The sequence below is a fragment of the Homo sapiens genome, chromosome 1 (genome assembly GCF_000001405.40).
Source record: "Homo sapiens chromosome 1, GRCh38.p14 Primary Assembly".
NCBI lineage: Eukaryota > Metazoa > Chordata > Mammalia > Primates > Hominidae > Homo > Homo sapiens.
In genome coordinates this window covers 238,630,248-238,652,684 of record NC_000001.11, presented here as the reverse complement: position 1 = coordinate 238,652,684, position 22,437 = coordinate 238,630,248, and the positions used below count along the sequence as shown (strand labels likewise).

Sequence of the window (22,437 nt, the reverse complement as noted above, 5' to 3'; positions counted from 1 at the left end):
TTTGCATTTATTTTTAGTCTATTCCATTAGGTATAAATGGGTATCTCATTTTGGTTTTCATTTGAAAATTATCGATGACAAATGAGGCAAGCATTTTCTCATAGGATTATTGAGTGTTTTCTCATAGGATTATTGGGTGTTTTCTCATAGGATTCTTGAGTATTTCCTCATCATCTTTAGTCAACTGCCTATTCAAGACTATTTTCCATTTTTCTCCGTTTTCTTTCTTTCCTTTTTTTTTTGTTTTTTTTTTTTTTGAGACAGAGTCTCACTCTATCACCCGGGCTGGAGTGCCATGGCACAGTCTTGGCTCACTGTAACCTCTGCCTCCTGGGTTCAAGGAATTCTCCTGCCTCAGCCTCCCGAGTAGCTGGGATTACAGGCATGCACCACCATACCCAGCTAGTTTTTGTATTTTTAGTAGAGACGGCTTTCATCATGTTGGCCAGGCTGGTCTCAAACTCCTGACCTCAGGCGATGCACCCGCCTCAGCCTCCCAAAGTGCTGGGATTACAGGCGTGAGACACCACGCCTGACCAATTATTTTCCATTTATTTGAGAGGGTTTTCCCTCTTTTCTTATGGATCTGAAGGAATTCTTCATACATTTTGAATGCAAGTCTATTGTTTGATATATGAAAATTATTTGAAAACAAAAGTTCTTAATTTTAAGGAAGCCGAAGTTATAAAAACTGTCATGTCTGCTTAGTGGGCTTTCATTTCCTTCAACAAATCTTTGTTTGCCCCAAGATCATGAAGATAATCTATCGTGTTATCACTAAGCAGTTTTATAGTTTACCCTTCACATTTAGGACAAAACTCTGTCTGGAGCTGCTTCTGTCTTTGTGAGGTACTTTTTAATGTGTTTTTCTCTATATGTATCAAATAAACCTAACGTCTTTTACTGGAAGACTATTGTTTCATTCCCTGTATTTCAGTGACATTTAGGTAAATCAAATAACTATATGTGTTTAAGTGTTTCAGGAACCCATTTTTCTTCCATTGATTGATTCATCTTTACTTTCGCCCACATCAAGTTGTTTTACTTGTTATGGCATTATAGCAAGCCTTGATATCCGGTAGTATATGCTTTCCAAATTTTATCTGTTTAAATATTGTAGAATCAGTTTTCAATTTCAACAAAACTGCTTATTGGAATATTTATTGGGAATATATTAACTCTATAAATGGATTTATGAAGATATAAAATATTTACAAATTGAGTAATTTAAACCTTGAACATGGTATACCTTCCATTTATTGATATCATCAACAATTTGTCTTGGAACCGTGAGGCACTTTTTGGAGTCACTTAAACAATTTTAGTAAATGTTTTCTTGGTATTTGATGTTTTCTGATGTTATTTTCAGTGGTTTCCTTTTAAATTACAGTATTTAATTATTTTTTACTAATATGACCTATTTTGTCCATTTTTTCAGTGGACTTATTAAACTTATGTATTCAATTTAATATATTTATTTCCAGATTTTTGAATATTCTGTATTAAAACAGGAAGTAACAATATTATAATTTCTTCCTTTTAATACTTTTATTTTTTTAAATCCTGTCTTTCTATTATGTGTAGAGCTTTGACCCAATTTCAATAGAAACTGTAATAGCGGATTTTTTTCTCTCATTCTTCTTTTCAGGTGGAAAGCATTCAATATTTTATCAGTAAGTATAAGTTGCTTTGTTGCTTGTTTTTAGATAATATTTATCAGATTAAGAATATCCATTTCTACTTATGCATATTTTGAAAATAGCTATAAATTGTGATGTGTTGTTTTCAGGTGCATTTGCTGGTTTTATTGAGAGGATAACATACATTTTTCTGTTTATTCCATTAATTAAAGAACTTCTTGCAGTCCTGAAATCTGTCACAGTTGGTCAGATTTCCACATTTTAGATTTTCCTATTTTACATATTGCTAGATTCCATTTACTAATTCTGTTTAAATTTTACATATATGTTTATGGGAGAGAGTTCCTTGACATTTATTCCATCAAAGCCTTGTCAGGTATCACTATCAACAGGTATCAGTATCATAATCCTGTGGGCCTCATGAAAGAAATTATAAAGTGCCTTCCATCTTATAATTCCCTGGAGAAAATTTTGTAAGATTAGTATTAAATCTTTTCTAAGTTTACAGAAGTCATTGATGAAGCATATAGGCAGAGATCATTTATTCATTTATTTCGTGAAAGAATCTGACATAAATTTAATTTCTTGACTAGATAAAGGGTATCCAGATTTCCTGTCAGTTTTACATTTTTCATTTCCAAGGAATATGCTTATTGTACCTATGATTTCAAATCTAATTGAATAAAATTGCTTCTATTATCTTCTTTCCTTCTTAATAACTATGGGGACTGTAGTGATGCCCTCTTTTCTTTTCTGATACTGTTATTTGTATTTAGTTTCTCTTGTTCTCTTGCTCTCTTTCCCTTATTAAATTTTTTAGATTATAAATTTTATTCATTTTATGAGAAGAAAATTTTGTCTATTATGCTTATTTTTTCTTTTTTGTATCTGCTTTCTATTTCATTGATTTCTGCTATACATTCTTTTGTTCTTTCACTTTATTCTGGCTGTAATATAATCATTTTGTATGGCTTCTGGAGGTGGGTGCTTAAGTCAGTGACCTTTAGGCATCTATGTATCTAGTTATTTACCTATCTACCTGCATTCAAGGGCATGATTTTCACCTAAGCACTGTTCTAGCTGCATTTTGCATATTATGTCTTTTTTATTACATTCAGTTAAATATTTTTTAAAACTTATAAAAATTATGTTTGTGAGTTATTTTGAAGTGTTTCCTTTAATTAACATTTGGACATTTTGTATTTTTGTGTGTGTGTGTTATTGAATTCAAAAATTCATCTGTGGCGAGAGAATATACTCTGCATGAGTCCAATTATTTGAAATTGGTTGAAGTTTGCTCTCTGGCTCTTATAGAATATGTTTTCACATTCTTTTCATGCATATGTTTTGAAATTGTTTTCATGTATAATTGCAGTTACTGGGTATTCTTGTTAAGCTGAATTTCTTAATATTACAATTCAAATATTCAAATTATTTTTTTATTTTTTGGTTTGCTTGTTCTATGAGTTACTGAAAAATTATGTTAAAAACTACCATTTTTATTTATGAATGTATTTACTTCTCTTTTTTTGTTTTGTTAGCTTTCACTTTCCTTTCCTAGGCAGATAGAGTAAGAGACAGATTGCTTTCTTTTAATCATGTATTGACCCAACCTGAGGTAAGGTTGCACATCTGCTAAGCCTTAGTCTAGCTCTAATTAATCCCCAGTCTTAGGACTTAGCTAACAGGAAAAGTGGTCCAACTGGGAGACTGGTGCAATCAGTAGGGTGTTACCCACTGCAGGGATCTGGACCCTAAGTCTTCAGTGCTGTTATTCAGATAACTTTTGTTTTGTCTCTTAGCTTCATGTCCCAAATAATTTGTGAATTTGACAAATATTTTGAGGGGCAATCTGACAGGCCAGAACTTCAATTAATGACTCTTCGTAGTAGAATTCTGGTCTCTTAATGTGTCATTGTTATAATTATTGTTTTCTTTCTCGTTTATGTAACAACCAAAAGCCCTGCTTCTTTTTTCACCTTCTGTTTCACATGTTTGTCCAAATCATGGGAATCTCAGCCCCCTACTTGTGGTCTGGTTTAAAAAAAAAATAAAAGTGACTGCAGAATGCTGGCTAACCTCGCTTCACGGAAATGCCTTCTCCAGCATTTTGTCCCTTTAATTTGCCGTTTCCCAGCAGTTCTCTGATAACTTCATATGCATAATTTGTGGTTTTATGTAACTTTTTCAGTTATTCTCAGCAGGAATTTTAGTTTGTCATTAGCAATTCCCTGGTATCAAGAAGCTTAAGTAACTCTCAAAATTTTAAATAGATACATGAGGAATTGAATTTTCAAATCCAGGTTATCCTCACTTCCAAATGACCCTTATACGTGCTCCACAAAGAGCAACATATATGTGAATATGTGCCTTCTACATTTGAAACATTGTATAACAAGCTTTCAAATATGTGATCTCATTTAGCAATGGTCATATCACCTTTATTATTATAAATGAGGAAACAGCAAGAGGGGAGTTAACACTGAAAATTAGAATACTAATAAGTGGTAAAATCAAGACTCAATTTGAAACTACCTAACTTCAAAGCACTATGGAGACAGTGACAAAATGAAAATAAAGAAGGTTTATAAAATGACTAACCAAATAATTTACACTCCAACTTCACACCATAGTTATGGTGACCCCACAATTTTAGCAGTGTGATCCTATTTAACACCAATTAGGTGTATTAAAAGTTTGAACTATTAAGACGTAGATCCTAGTTACTTTTTCTGTGTTAATACCTTAAAACAATCATTTATTATCTCTCAGACTTTCTAAGGGTTAGGAACACAGCATGGCTCATAAGGACCATTCAGGTTGAGGAACTCTCATGAACTCTCATTTCAAAGGCTTTTTCACTCCTATTTGAATGCGTGGGCTGGAAAGACTCAAATAGCTCGGATTCCTCAGGCAGCTCCATCTGTATGTGGTTTCCCTATATGGTCTTCTAAGTATGGCAGCGTCAGAATAGCTGAGTTTCTAACCTGATGACTCATGGCTCCAAAAGGCACATGAGCCAAGAGAAAGATTCTAGCCAGTAGTAGGCTTGTTGCCTTTCATGATCTAGCCTCAAAAGTCATGCACTGTCCTTTTCTCTGGATTCTGTTGGTCAAAGCAGTTACACAAGTTCATTCAGTTTCATTGGGAAGAAACATAGATGCCCCTCTCAATAGAGAAATGGGGTTGGAATATGTATTGGTGCAGCCATCTCTGAAAAATATATTTTGCAATATCTATGCTGTCATAGATTAAAAAAATAAAAATATAATGTTTTCTAGTTTCTTGAAGCTAGAAACTATGTTGACTAAGTAGAAAATAACATTTCCATACAAATTAAGTAAAAATTGACTTACCAGTTGAGGATGTATCACTTTAAAATAAAAATAAAAGCAAAAGTTTCCAATCTTAAATTCTAGGGCTTTTATCAAGGTACAGCAACAGTAAGGGATCTGTGGCAGTTGGATTCCCTTTGGCTTTAGGGAGATGGTAATTTATCAAAAAACATATATATAAAATCTCCCTAAGATTATTTATTTACGTGTGTCTCTGAGTCTCTGAATTTTCCCTACTGTCTGAAATAAAATTTCCTCTTGCTGACAAGTAAAAGAAACACTAGCCAGAACTAATCAACCTTAAGTGGACATCTGTGAATAGATCCTAGCTGTAGATTTATACCCTGTCACATGGCCATTAGCACAGTTACATCTTACTATTTATGAAGCATTTTTCACTTAGAAATATCTATCCTCAGCAGCTAGCAGAATATGTGTAAGTCTAGCAAGCCTGTGTGTGTGTGTGTGTGTGTGTGTGTGTGTGTGTGTGTGTGTGTGTGTGTCCAGCTTAAATTGCAGAATCTCATGAATTATTCTCCTTGCTCTAATCAGGATAATGAGAGAGAAACCATCATTGCTTAAGTGAGAATGAAGTTTCCAGAAAACAAGATCTACAAAACAGACATTGCTTCAAATTTGTCTTCTGTTTTCACTCTCTACCTCGCTGCACTTTTCTTCCAGGGTTGCCCTTTTGACTTGCTATTTCGTCCATCTTTAATTCATTTTTCGGTTCTACAAACATCATGTGACACTGTCAGCCTTCATATAATCCTTCCTTTTCTTTTTGTAAAAAACCTTGATGTACTTATTTCCTATAAAAATCAGCGAATGTTATTTTAAACTAATATTATTTTAGGTTAATATTAGAATAAAAACTTCCATCTTTTAGGTTTATTTGTGGCAGGTTTTACTCTAGGTGCTTGTTATATATTATTTCATTTGAGTAAAACCACTCTAAGGGATAGGTATTATTGTGCAAATGGTAAAAATAAAGAATCTAATGCCCAAGTAGGTGAAATTAAGTTTATCTAGCTAGTAGAAGAAGTGGATGAAATCAAATCTAGTATGTCTGTTTAATAAAACCGGCATTTTTTAATGGAAAATCGTCAGAGATTTTTCCAAAACATCTCCGTTTTCTTTTTAGATGTCATCCTTTTCAGTTCTAGAACTTCCATTTAATTAATTTTCATGGATTACAGTTCTCTAGTTAATTTTTGACATCTTTCTACTCCTTTTTCCCCTTTTGTCCTCTGTTTTCTTAATCATCCTTAATTATAATTCTCGTCTGCTAATTCCATTATCTGATCACATGCAGCTTTGCTTCTGTTGTCTGTGGTCTTCCCTCTTGGAATACCTACTGATTTTTTATTGCATATTGGACATTGCGTATAATATGCCTAAAGCTACAGATTAAGTTTTACTTCAGCAGAGTGTGCTTCACCTCCCTTTGCTAGGTAAGTAGAGTAGTGGCTAATTACAAGTTTAATAAAGCTCAGTCCTTCACTACTATTCTAGCAGCATGTATTAATACATCCAATCGGCTCTTAACTAATCGTTTCCTGATCTCAGCTCTGGTTGTAAAGAGATGTCTAGCTTATATATTTTATACTTAAGCCCTATGTAATTTCAGAATTTGGCAGATGTCTTAAAGACAAAACCAACTACATATGATTAGATTGCTTCAAGTCTTCAAATGTGTCTCTTCAGCCACGAGGTCATCCAGTGCCCCAGCAGCAGTCCTCTAGGCAAAGTGCACATTCTCCCAGTCTCCTGCTTTTTGCAGTCAGTAAGCACCCTAAGGAAAAGTGGTTCCAGAAGTTAGCCCGCCTCTTGGAGGCCCTTCCTTTTTGCAATATAAACCCCATTGGTTCTCCATTGCATCAGCACCTTGCTGATGCATTATACAGACAATTTGTATATTTTATCTAATTATTCTGTGCTACAAGCAATTTTGTCCTACTGTATCTATTTTACTTTATTTTTTGTTTTTACTTCATCTAGGTTAGAATCTACTACATTATGTTGCTGTTCTCCCTTCACTATATTATAATTTCCATCTCCTATTTTAATACCCGTCCACCTCCTCAGATATGCATTGCATTTTTTGAGAGAATACAAAGGACACTTTAGTGATAATAAAACCTGTTCTTGACTATAAATAAAATTTAAAACAATAGGACAGAGTCCTGAAACTACATCAGCCAGGAAAATACTTACAGGAAATTGTTTTAAAAGGGCAAAGCAGTAGGCTATGTTCTAGGATGAATTCAACATGATTGGCCCAAGAGGAAAAGCAGTGTTAAAATATATATATATATATATATATATATATACACACACACACACACATATATATACACACCCATATATACATATATACATATGTATGTGTATATATATATGTACACACACACATATATGAGAAAAATACATTGATTTGTTGGGTCCCTTATAAGTATATCTCCTGCTTTGATGTAAAACTTACTAGAAAATAAAATTAATTATCATTTTAGTTCTATATTTGAATGATCTTGTTTCTTTGTGGTCAACATTTGTGAAAAATGAAGAAGAGACACAAAATATCCAACAAAAAGTGCATGCAGCTGAATATAAGAGTGACTCAGAAACAAAGGAAAATTAATGTTGTCTAAAGTCCCCAATTTCAGGGAGAATATGAGACTTAAAAGAACTATTTAGAATTTTACACAAACTGAACACACAAAGGAGGGAACACTAGATAAAATACAAAAAGAAAAACTGGAAACTATAATCTCAGATTGATCTGAGTACACAAACTTGACAGAGCATGTATGAAGTGAGAAATGACATTTTTTGCTATATTATTGGATTGCCAAGAAGCAGTTTTCTAATTTTATTGAAAAAGCAGTTGGTCATATTATATTAACACTGGTGCCACAAGACTAACATAATTATTCTGCATTCCTCCTTACACAGAAAAAGCTACTGTTTTTCATACACATATAGGTTCATATAAGCAACTTCATAGAATAAGAAGACATGAGGCCGGGCACGGTGGCTCACGCCTGTAATCTCAGCATTTTGGGAGGCTGAGGCGGGCGGATCACGAGGTCAGGAGATCGAGACCATCCTGGCTAACACGGTGAAACCCCGTCTCTACTAAAAATACAAAAAATTAGCCGGACATGGTGGCGGGCGCCTGTAGTCCCAGCTACTTGGGAGGCTGAGGCAGGAGAATGGCGTGAACCCAGGAGGCGGAGCTTGCAGTGAGCCGAGAATGCTTCACTGCACTCCAGCCTGGGAGACGACCGAGACTCCGTCTCAAAAAAAAAAGAAAAAAGAAAGAAAATATGAAATGATACGTGCTTATTTAGGGCATTTGTCAATGTTCTGGGACTATGTTCGTTTAAGATACAAAATTTACCCTTGAAATGTTTGCTTAAGGAAAGAATGCCTCCAGAGACTACATCCTAACTTTTTCTGCATATTGGCAATGACAGCAGCAATACTAACAATAAAATATGTATATTATTTTATGAGGGTATGTCTAGATTGTGAGATGAGAAAAATATGAAGAAGGTCGTACAAGATTGATATAAAGAGCAACTTCAAGTATATGTCTTGAAAGAACAATTCCATAAAATTAGAGCTGTCAAATTAAATGACTTGTCCAATAAATGAAAAAAAAGTTGCACACAAAGTATGAATTGGGAAATACACTTCACTAATATTTTTTACAGTTTTAATAGAGCTATCAATTTACATATGTGACATAATATTATACAAAGTAAGTAAAACAGACATGACCATATCTTTGATGTATAATCTGAGACAGAAAATTCATTTATATAATTAATTTCTCTGGATATACTATTTATCTTTTTATATTTATTTTGGATTCATTAGAATATCTTTAATTTTTTATCTGAAATTTAAAATAAGTTACCAATACATTTTGATTGGCAGGTAGGTGTTGATGGTTAGCATTTTGATAACCAAATCTCATTCATCTTCATTTTGCATAATACCTTATTCCACTTCAAGAAACTTTCCCAAGCGTATTATTTTCTTGGTTGATATGTTAGCATAGTGATCTACAACTTTTAACATACAAAATTAATTAAAAGTGCTAATTTAGTTTGATTCAATCCTAAAAAAAAGTTTATGTAAAACTCTAGTTTCTTCTCTCATAATCTGCAGTATTCCTTTTCTTTTTGAACACCGTAAACTGTGAAAACAGTCACATTGTCAAATCATATTCTTAGAAATTAACTGAAATCAGTCATTCACTAAACACATATTTAATTAAATGCGTTATCTTTCTCAGTGCTATTTATAGTCTGGCTCTTGTTTGAAATTTAATATCCTTTTATAAAGGACCCTGGAGAATAAATGAAGGCGTGGAAATCAATTATTATTACTTTGTAATGACAAATCTTATTGTTAAAACTCTCTTGTTTTTTAAAATAATTTCTACCCCCTATCTCTAGTTTCTCTTGTTGGAGTCATGTTAGTTTAGGAAATTTTAAGTTAATTTCTATATAATAGCAGAGGGAAAAAAAAAACAACAGTCATTTATTGTGATAAATAAGCTGAACTCTTGTTTCCCAAAAAATGGCTCAAGACCTGAAATCACAAAGACATATAGAATCCAAACTTCCAGGTAAGTCGTGGGATTAATGATTAACGCTTTCATTCCAGTTTCTATAGCGTCTATAACTGTTCCTTATATATTTCTTCTACCTCTTCTCTTTGTTTCTAACATAGAACAGTCAGAGGAAAATATCTGCATTCTACCATTGCCTCTATTGGCTTCAGTTATTCTTTCTCAATTTGTGAGTGATTTAAGAGTGCAGCCATATCCCAGAAAACAACTTTCAAGTCTGCTTTACGTATTTTTGGTCAATAATAAGCTTCTAAATCCCATTCTTCACAAAAACTCTGAAAGTTGAGCCATAGAAAGTAACTACGGAGTTGCTGGTTTAGAATACTGTTCTGTTTGGCATCGAATTAATGGGGACTTGCTGGGATTAACTGTGGTGATGAAATAATTGTAGCAAAAGAGAAATCTAAGGGAAGGAAAACAAAGGACATTATTAACCTAGCGCCAACCCTCAGGCTTAATTTCTAGTATTATAGAGTTTCGGTTCAATCTGTTAGTAAAAATAAATTAAACTCTTATAAATGAAATTTTAGTTTTTCACTCTTTATCTCCCTGTTAATGTGAGCCATTCCACAGAGTGGAAATAAATCAGTCACTAGAGGACAAACTTAATCTCTTGGCAACCAAACAGGAGCTAAGGGAACGCAGTGCCTCTTGAATGGAAATATTTTTCAAATGAGCAGTGGACCAAAGTAATTCACATGGAATGAATATAAATTTTCTTTTCCATTAGCATACAAAGCTATTTTCCCACCACCCATACAAACCACAAATCACAATTGGTTTTTTAGACTTATCCATATGACACATTGTCCGGTTTTAGTAATATTAATTATATCACAATTAATTGTATTATATAGTAATGTAAGTTAGAATATACTATAATAGTAATATTATATTATATTAGTATTATATACTATTATATTATTATATACATTATGTTAATATTATATTACATTAATATTATATACTATTATATTAATATATTAATATTATATACTATTATATTGATATTATATTATATTAATATTATATACTATTATATTGATATATTATATTATATTATATACTATTATATTGATATATTATATTATATTATATACTATTATATTGATATATTATATTATATTATATACTATTATATTGATATATTATATTAATATTATATATTAATACTATATTATATTAATATACACTATTATATTAATACTATATTATATTAATGTTATACGCTATTATATTAATACTATATTATATTAATGTTATACGCTATTATATTAATACTATATTATATTAATGTTATACACTATTATATTAATACTATAATATAATAATAGTGATATAATTATATTATATTATATAATAATTATATTAACAATATAGTAATAATTGACATATTAATAATATTATTAATAATATAGTAATAATTAATACATTGATAATTATATTATAATCATTGTATAATTGCTATAATGATATTATATTAATATTATTAAATTGTATTATAATTATATTGATATTGTTATTATATATTATATTTCATATTAACATAATATACTATATTATATTTCATATTAACATAATATACTATATTATATTACATATTAACATAATATAATATATTATATTACATATTAATATAATATATTATATTATAATTAATTATATTATATTAATATTAATTTAATATTTGACAATTTGTCAGATGACTACACAGTAGCCCTCATAAATGTGAGCACTCAGCATGGATATAAATTTAAACTTTTGATATAAACTGCATAAAGCTAGCAGACCAATCTCCATGATCCTGCCTACTATATTTCTATTGATATAATTTCATATGTTAACTTGTTTTCAGCTAAGTCAACTTTAACTTTTTAATTTACCTGATCAAACCGTAAGTACCTTTTACACATAGCATGCTGGTTGCTGAATCTATTCCATGATTCCACAGTTCATTTGCTGCACTTAAGTACAAAAATATATATGTATTGCCAAAACTGATTGTCTTATTTACCCCCTTTCTCTAGATTATGAGGGTAATTTTTTAAAAATAAAGAGTGGTCTAAAAGAATACACAGAAAACAAAAATAAATAAAACACCAATATAAGAAAGATAGCCTTGCAGAAAAAGAACAGAGTCATCAAACACATATGGTTAGTGAAATTTGTTTTAGCAATAAGGATGCGATGTATTTTTTAAATGAATGAGATTGTTGACTACTCATTGAGAATGAAATATGCTAATAGTATACCTAGCTCAAAATAATATACATTTCTGATTGAAATGCACAATATCTATTTTAGATTGATTAAATATATGAGCACTAAGAAAATTTAAACGCGTATTGTTCATAAAGTTACAATAGAGAAGGTCTTTCTATGCAGAAAAAGCTTTCTACCAAAAGCAGAAGACATAAAAGTGACAGATGTGACTTCACAAAAATTCACCATAAAGACAAAATTATCACCAAATGATGAACTGGAGGATTTGCAACATAAATGCATTTATGAGATAAATTTCTTTAATGTACAAAAGACCTTACATATTATTACACGGGCAATTGAAGAAAAGAGGGTCCATGTATATTTTACACATATAAAATATATAAAATATGAAATATATATAATATATAAATATATAATATATACTGTAAAATGCTTTAAGTCACTAATGGTAAAAGACATTTAAATTACAAGAAAGAGAGAAATTAAAATATTTAACCTATCTATATGATTGGTATAATTTCCACACTTTCATTTCTGATTTTACTTATTTGAGTCTTCTCTTTTTCTTAGTCAGTCTCGCTAATGGCTTGGCAATTTGGTGATCTCTTTGAAAAACCAACTCCATTTCACTGATTTCTCTATTATTTTCCTATTCTCTATTTTTTCAAGATGTTGGACATTACTCAATAAAAGACAATGATTCATAAATGACAGGAAATAAAGGAAGCAAGCTCTATAATGGCTCCACTGTTCTGCTTTCAGAGAGTGGGGAAGGTCCATATGCTGTGTATCTACTCCTTTGTTGAGCCCTGGTATACACACAGAATTTATACATTAGAATGTATACCTGTGCCCCTGTGAGAAGTGACTTTACCAACTAGACTGTGGTGTTTATGGACTGTGCCTTTTGTTTTCACCTTAAAGTTTTGATTAGAAAACTATTTTCCAAAGTTAGTTTCATCAGTCCCTTTTTGCTCCGACTGCTTTGGTAGGACTCTGCCCCACAGTTGTAGTATAATTAGCTCTGTTGTTATGGCCTGTATTTTATCCTGGGACTCCCTGACTTCTCAGTTGGTAATTTAAATTTGCAAATATTAAAGCTGTCTTTATCAATGCTGCGACGTTCAGTGGATTGTGACAGTCATAGCTTTTCTGAGCTTTCAGTCATAGATTTCCTGGGCTTTCCACCACCACAGTGCCATATACTCCAGTGCCACATCAGCTCCACTGACCTAAAATATCCCGTTCTTCCTCTAGTCAAATACGCTCCTTGCTTCAACCCCCTGGTGATCACTGCACTGTATTCCCATCATCACAGTTTTGCCTTTTACAGGATTTCAAATAAATGGAATCATAGAGTAAGTAGGTTTTTTATCTGGAATATTTCTTATAATGGAACAAAACAGAAAGCCCAAACAAGCATCATCAGTTGATGTTTGACAAAGATTTAAAAGAAATGTAATGGAAAAAAGAAATCTTTTCAACAAATGTTTCTTGAACAATTGATATCTATATGCAAAAAGTGAACCTCAACACATATACCTTATATAATAACAAAAACAAAAGAAGCTCTATGATGTAGATCATATGTTAATATGCTCATATGCTTATTTTCCCTAAATATGTCTTCTTTAATGAGGTGTCTGTTAATTTATTTTGTCTATTTTTAATTGGGCTGTTCATTTTCTTAATTTTGAGTTTTAAATGGTTTCTTTAAATGTATTCCCAATACAAGTCCTTCATCAGATATGTGGTTTGCAAGGATTTCTCCTAACCTTTAACGTCCTTTTTTTGTCTTAACAGTCTCTTTCGCAAAGTAATAGTTTTTAATTTTTCTAAAGTCAAATTTATTAATATTCATTTACGAATGATGTATTTGGTTTTGTATTGAAAAAGTCATCACCAAACTCATTGTTGAATAACGTTTCTTCTGTTTTCTCAAATAAGTTTTATAGTTTTTGTGTTTTTCATGTAGGCCTATGATCCATTTTCTGTTCGTTATTGTATAAGGCATAAAATATGTGTTGAGTTTCATTTTTTTGCATATAGATGTCCAGTTGTTCAAGAACCATTCGTTGAAAGATTTCTTTTCTATATTAAATTTCTTTTAAATCTTTGTCAGAAATAAATTGATTATGCTTGTTTGGGTTTATCTCTAGGCTTTCTGTTTTGTTCCATTGATCTATGTGTCTAAACTTTTGCCAATAAATGGAACATTTTTCACTTTATCCTGATTTTATATCTGGGTTTCAAAACATTTTCACCTCAACAGAGAAAGGCAGAGAATCTCAACTGAACTGTTATTTGTTGCAAAGGAATGGTGATACATGGAATGTGAGTTTTATGAAAGAATTAAATTTAAAGATAAAATAGTATATCTGATATAATATTTTTCTGATGTGTTAATGATTCATAGCTACAGTCTTAACATTATGACTAAGAGATATATTTAGGTGGAAGACATAAGAAAGGTGGAAATCTTTCCTTTTTTAGTATGTTTAATGTCTATAGTAGATTTATATTTTTATTATGTGCATACAAACTAACTTCTGATTTTCATAATAAGGAATTATGAAGAACTTAAAGACTGTCTGAATTTGACTCTTTTTGCAAGAGAAAGGGAGAGATTGAAATATAGAGGATGTAAACCATGGTTAGTTATTTTAACATCAATTTCTTTAATAAATACTATTGGTTTCAGAGGTAACAAAGGCTTTCTGTAAAGTGTATGGACTACACTTAGGTTCAATACCATTCATGAAAACACCCTAATATTTGATTTACCAACTGGAAGATCAACATCCCTGTGAGCCACAAATGTGGGTAATTTAAAAAAATTCTTATAGACATGTGGCTAGTTAAGATTGACCTTATTTTGCCCATTACTTGGTGCTTTCACATATTTAACAAATACTGAGCAAATGTAATAATCCAGGTCTAGACACTGGGGATACAAAGATGTGTATCCACAAGTTTGCTCTTGAGTACTTTCAAACTTAAAATCGAGACAATATTTTCAGTTTTGAAACCAAACATTAAAGAACAACAAACTAAAAGAAAAAAATAAAATCTAAATTTTATAAAAAACATTTTGTCATTACTATATGTTGTGGCCTAGAAGAAATATAGTATGTCTTCAGTTTCATAGCTCTGGAAAAAAGTACACATTTTAATCTCATAGTGAACATGATTGGTACATATGAAATGACAAAACAAACCCTTTTTGTTTCTGAAAATTTTCCATCAAAAAAAGAAATTTTCCATACGATCTTCTTCAATTTTTATTTGACTAGAACAGAATTTGTAGAAGCAACCTCACTGTCATATGAAACAACAAGATCATTATTTCCAAAGAGTCTTCAAAGGTCCTTCAGTTACGGAACTGTGTTCAAAATATCTGACAAACTTCAATTTTGCAAAACCGATATGTATGAACATGTTCTGCTTCTTGCCTCCTGACAGTCAGTTAATTCACTGACTAAGTGTTAATACCTCATTGTTAATACCTCAGTGTTAACTTAGGATTGTTTGATAGTAATCTGTTTGTGTAATATTAACCAATGTACATATCTGTTTTCTCTCTCAATTTCATATTTATAAATTAGGAATAATGATAGGTCTAGCCTTTGGGTTGTATGAAGTAATGAATATATTTATATGAGGATACTTCAAAAAGATCTTGGAAAAATGAGATTCAAAGATAAAAATAAAAGATATTGACTGGGCATGGTGGCTCACGCCTATAATCCCAGCTCTCTGGGAGGCCAAGGTGGGTGGATCACGAGGTCAGGAGATCGAGACCATCCTGGTTAGCACGGTGAACCCGTCTCTACTAAAAATACAAAAAATTAGCTGGGCGTGGTGGCGGGCGCCTGTAGTCCCAGCTACTCTGGAGGCTGAGGCAGGAGAATGGCGTGAACCCGGGAGGCAGAGCTTGCAGTGAGCCGAGGTCGCGCCACTGCACTCCGGCCTGGGCGGCAGTGCGAGACTCTGTCTCAAAAAAAATAAATAAATAAAATAAAAAACAAAAGATATAAACTTTATTTCTCAACATAAGCTCCACCATGCTCAAGACATTTTTGTGATGATGCCAGCTTTTTACTTCATCCCTGAAGAACAAAGAATCCTAGAGTCCTAGGAATTTAACCATAATGACGCAGTCTTTTTTACATTATTACCTGAAGAAAAAATGGGTGCCCGTTACACATATTTTTAAGATTAGGAAACAAAGAGAAGTCAGCAGGCACCAAGTCAGGACTACAAGGTGGATGCCTAAGATTTTCTATCAAAATTCTCAACTAATTGCCCTTGTTTGATGAGAGGAATGAACAGGAGCATTGTTGTGTTGGAGAAGGACTCTTTTGTAAAACTTTCCTGGATGTTTCTCTGCTAAAGCTCTGCCTTAACACTCTCCAAACACTTTTTTTTCTTTGTTTTGTTGTTTTGTTTTTGAGATGGAATTTCACTCTGTCCCCCAGGCTGGAGTGCAGTGGCATGACCTCGGCTCACTGCAACCTCCACCTCCCAGGTTCAAGTGATTCTCCTGCTTCAGCCTCCCGAGTAGCTGGGATTACAGCCACGTGCCACCACACCTGGCTATTTTTTTGTATTTTTAGTAGACACGGGGTTTCACCATGTTGGCCAGGCTGGTCTTGAACTCCTACCTCAGGTAATCCACCCACCCTGGCCTCCCAAAGTGCTGGGATTACAGGTGTAAGCCACCACGCCTGACCCCGAACACTTTCATAATAAGTGGATGTCACCATTCTTTGGCCCGCCACAGAGTCAAGAAGAAGAATGCCTTGAGCCTCCCCAAACACTGTTGCTGTGATTTTTCCTCTTGACCAGTCTGCTTTTGCTTTGACTAGACCACTTCTACTTCTTGGTAGCCATTGTGCTGATGGTGCTTTATCTTCAAGATTGTGCTGGCAAAGCCATGTTCTATTTCCTGTTATAATTTTGCAAATAAATGCTTCAGGATCTTGATCTCACTTTAAAAATTTTCCAGTTCTCCACATCCTCTCCAGCACCTGTTGTTTCCTGACATTTTAATGATCGCCATTCTAACTGGTGTGAGATGGTATCTCATCATCACTGGCCATCAGAGAACTGCAAATCAAAACCACAATGAGATACCGTCTCACACCAGTTAGAATGGCGATCATTAAAAAGTCAGGAAACAACAGGTGCTGGAGAGGATGTGGAGAAACAGGAACACTTTTACACTGTTCCTGTAAATTAGTTCAACCATTATGGAAGACAGTGTGGTGATTCCTCAAGGATCTAGAACTAGAAATACCATTTGACCCAGCCATCCCATTACTGGGTGTATACCCAAAGGATTATAAATCATGCTGCTATAAAGACATATACACATGTATGTTTATTGTGGCACTATTCACAATAGCAAAGACTTGGAACCAACCCAAATGTCCATCAATGATAGACTGGATTAAGAAAATGTGGCACATATACACCATGGAATACTATGCAGCCACAATAAAGGATGAGTTCATGTCCTTTGTAGGGACATGGATGAAGCTGGAAACCATCATTCTCAGCAAACTATCGCAAGGACAAAAAACCAAACACCGCATGTTCTCACTCATAGGTGGGAATTGAACAATGAGAACACTTGGATACAGGAAGGGGAACATCACACACTGGGGCCTGTCATGGGGTGGGGGGAGCGGGGAGGGATAGCATTAGGAGATATACCTAATGTAAATGACGAGTTAATGGGTGCAGCACAGCAACATGGCGCATGTATACATATGTAACAAACCTGCACGTTGTGCACATGTATCCTAGAACTTAAAGTACAATAAAAAAAAAATAATTTCCATTGAAAGCTCTGCTTTTGTCTGCAGCTGACGCGGGTGCAATAGTTTTGGCACCCATCAAGTGGAACGTTTGCCTGTCTTTAATTTTTCAGTTAGAATTGTCTAAGCTGAGCCAGCTGAGAAGTCCACGATGTTGGCTGTTGTTTCTGCGGTTAATTGTCTGTCTCCTTCAATTAGGGCACAAACAAGATTACTTTTTTTTCCTTGCAAACTGATGTGGATGGTCTGCCACTGTGGGCTTCATCTTCAACGTCATCTCTTATATTCTTAAAACGAATTATCCATTTGAAAACCACTGATTTCTTCGGGGCATTGTCCTCATAAGCTATTTTTTTAAGCGACAATGATTTAACCATTCTTCCATCCAAGCTTCACTATAAATTTGATATTTGTTCTTGCTTCAATTTTAGCATAATTCAGGTTGTTCTGTTAGGAATTCTTTTCAAAGTGATTTCTTATCCTTCTTAATGCCTTAAACTAGATCTTGTTCAGACATGTGTAACAACTTAACATGAGCTTGTTTTGGTGCAGAAAAAATTTTAAATTTATGCATAGTTTTTTTCAAAACATAAATTTTTAATGAAAATTTATGAAAGACTCCTTGTATATGTAAAATGCTTATAGTGTGCCTTATATTTACTAATAAACTGATAAATGTAAGAAGTTTTCTATAATCACCATTTTAAATATGATTACTATTACCAAAATCTCTAGTGAATTACTCAATCTTCAACAGCTCATGTTGTTTCTATTCTGAAGCATTGTATATAAATATGCACTTTAAAGTAAAAATGCTAAATTAGACCTAGAGAAAAATTTTCTGCTGATAAATATTACTAAGTATTTGTATGATTGACTAACAAAAATCGTGATATATAAATAATTTTATTTAGAGATGTAAAAATTCAGAGTATATTTTAATCTCTGAAATAATTTGTGACCATCCTTCCATAGTTATTAATTACTTTGATATAATTTAGTGATTCTCTGGGTACTGTAATTCAATAATTTTATATGATTTAAGCATTAAGGCTAATATTTTGAAGCCGCAGCAGCAAAGAAGAGCTTCCAAAATTAGTATTTTGCTATTTGCTTCACATGTCCCAAACTCCCTATAAATACACAATATTTGCTACTAATGAGGTCTATTGTTCAACTTCTATCAAACAGATATTTGTTTAATTGAGAATAGTTATCTTAACATTACATTGTGAGTGAAGATTGACTCCACACTCAAATAGACTAACTATACCCCTAATTAGTTCTTGCTTATTTTCCTAACACCCAGTATAATGCCTCATTTACAATAGATACAATTTCTTGGGTTAGTAAGTAAATGAATGAATGGAGAAGTGAGGACTTCAGCCATGAATTTTATTCACTGTGTTACTTAGTGCAGAAATATTTTTCATAAGTTTATTAAAGTATCTGAGTAAAATAAAATAAGTATACATACGTTGATAGCACTCATTGTCATTGAAAAGAAGATAAAAATAAAGTTGGGAAAATTAGTAACTGGTAAGATGTAAATGGTATAATTATTAATGTTTGTTAATAGTACATTATGTCTTAGGAAAGATACACATTCAGCCCTTGGTATACACAGTTCCATATCTGTAGATTCAACCAACTGCAGATCAAAAATATTTTAAAGATTCTGAAAATGTACAGACTTCTTTACTTATTCTATTAAAGCAGTATAACAACTATTTACATAACATTCACATCATATTAGGTATTCTGTAGTTAATCTAGAGATGATTTAAAGTATACAAGGGGATGTGCATAGTTTATATGCAAATGCTACACCATTTTATATAAAGGACTTGAGCATCACAAATGTTGACATCCACAGGGGGTCCTAGAACTAGTCCTCCAGGATACCAAGGGATGATTGTATATATTTTCCAAGTTTCCATTATATATTCATAAATGTACATTTACAAGGCAAAAAATGAAATTCTAGCTTTTAAATATCCAGAATAAAAATAAGGTCAAATTTTCAGGCAAAAATGAAAATAAAGGAATTATTAGTAATGTGTTAAGTCTAAAGAACAACAAAAGCAAACAGAATTGGGGAATTCATTTCCAAAATATTAAAACACTGATTCAAATAAAACATCAAAATTAATAATGAGGACTTCTATAAAAGATGAAATTACACATGTGCAATAAAATATAGTGACATCCATGAAATCGAGAAAAAAAAATAGACTGGGTGAACATGGCAAATGCACTTACTATATTCAAGTATTTATAGCCAACATTTAGAACTGAATTTGCAAAGCAGTAAACTAAGTGCTTTGATTATATATCTCATTTATTTCTTACCACAACACTATCAGAAGGTGGTATTATAACACAGATTTTAAAGATGATAACGGTTAAGGTTTTTTTTTTTTAATGTCAAAGCTAATTCTTCAAGACCTGCTCTTAGTCAATATTCTCTGCACCTAAGTCAATTTAAAAGGAAGAAAAATAAATAAAGAAGGAAATGAAGAACTAATACATTTTAAATAACCAAGATTATTTAATCTAAGAATTATTCACATAAATATGAATAATTTTAATACAGAGAATATATATTAACAAATGAGATATACAAACAGAAAACATCTGTTTATAGAAAAATTATGAAACTTTCAATTAAGACAAAACTATACCCCTCTAAACTAATTAATTTGCACATCATAACAACAACAAACATATATATATATATAGGAAAATTTACTTAAGCAGCAGTGAAAAACTGAAAAAAACTGACTTGCAAAGTTACCTCTCCCAAACATATACATGTAAACAACTGAGATTTCTCTTGGTATATAAATTTTAACAACAGAAAAATGTGATATTATCCTATTTATTTTCTTTAAATCTATCATTTACATTGTAGAGGGGAGCAGTTAAAAATAATAAAACGATAGACCAAACTCAGTAACATAAGCTAAATATTAGCATACTGAATCTACCAGGATAATCAAAGACTATCATACTGTGAAAAACAAGTGATTATTACAATTGTGAAAATGACCATACTGCCAAAAGCAATCTGCAAATTCAATGTAATTCCTATCAAAATACCACCATCGTTCTTCACAGAACCAGAAAAAACAATCCTAAAATTCATATGGAACCAAAAAGGAGCCCACATAGCCAACACAAGACTCAGTAAAAAGAACTAATCTGGGGACCTCACATTACCTGACTTAAAACTATACTACAAGGCCATAGTCATCAAAACACCATGGTACTGGTATGAAAATAGGCACATAGACCAGTAAAACAGGATAGAGAACCCAGAAATAAAGCCGAATTCTCACAGCCAACTGACCTTCAACAAAGCAAACCAAAACATAAAGGGGGGAAAGGACACCCTATTCAACAAATGGTGCTGGACTACTTGGCTAGCCACATGTAGAAGAATGAAATTGGATCATCATCTCTCAGCTTATACAAAAATAAACTCAAGATGAATCAAAGACTTAAATCTAAGACCTGAAACCATAAAGATTCTAGAAGATAACATTGGAAAATCCCTTCTAGACATTGGCTTCGGCAAAAACTTCATGACCGAGAACCCAAAAGCAAATGCAACACAAAGATAAATAGATGGGACTTAATTAAACTAAAAAGCTTCTGTACAGCAGAAGAAATAGCAGAGTTAGCAAACAACCCACAGAGTGGTAGAAAATATTCACAATCTATATATCCAACAAAGGACTAATACCAAGAATCCACAAGGAACTCAAACAAATCAGCAAGAAAAAAACAAACAATTCCATCAAAAAGTGGACTAAGGACATAAATAGACAATTCTCAAAAGAAGGCATACAAATGGCCAACAAGCATATGGAAAAATGCTCAGTATCACTAATTATCAAGGAAATGCAAATCAAAACCACATTGCAATACCATCTTATTTCTACTAGAATGGCCATAATCAAAAAAATAAAACAATAATTAATGTTGGCAGGAATACAATGAAAAGGGAACTTTTACACTGTTGGTGGGAATATAAACTAGTACAACCACTATGGAAAACAGTATGAACAGTCCGTAAAGAACTAAAAGTAGATCTACTGCTTGATCCAGCAATCCCACTATTATGTATCTATCCAGAGGAAAAGAAGTCATTATACAAAAAAAAAATACCTTCACACACGTTTATAGCAGCACAATTGGCAATTTCAAAAATATGGAACCAGCCCAAATGCCCATCAGTCAATGAGTGGATAAAGAAAATGTGACATATATATATATAAATGTGTATATATATATATATATATATATATGTGTATATATATATATGTATATATATACACATACATACATATCACACTAGTCCATTACATTGATGACCTTACGTTAATTGAACCTACTGAACAAGAAGTAACGACTATTGTAGACTTATTGGTAAGACGTTTGCATGTCAGAGGGAGGGAAATATATCTGACTATAATCCAGGAACCTATATCTCCGTGAAATTTCTGGGGGTTCAGTGGTGCATGTCCAGATATCCCTTTAAAATGAAAAAGAGGCCAGGCACGGTGGCTCACGCCTGTAATCCCAGAACTTTGGGAAGCCAAGGGGGTCGGATCACCTGAGGTCAGGAGTTTGAAACCAGCCCAGCCAACATGGTGAAACCATTTCCGTCTTTACTAAAATACGAAAATTAGCCGGGCATGGTGGCATGCGCCTGTAATCCCAGCTACTCGGGAGGCTGAAGCAGGAGAATTGCTTGAACCTAG

At 32.6% G+C, this 22,437-nt stretch overlaps 1 annotated feature.

Moving 5' to 3' along the window:
* Positions 4,210-4,797: an enhancer, noted in NCBI's record as "OCT4-NANOG hESC enhancer chr1:238811188-238811775 (GRCh37/hg19 assembly coordinates)". NCBI's record gives its function as "activates a minimal SCP1, AML or CMV promoter by ChIP-STARR-seq in primed H9 embryonic stem cells {active_cell/tissue: H9 hESC(primed)}" and the evidence as "EXISTENCE:reporter gene assay evidence [ECO:0000049][PMID:30033119]".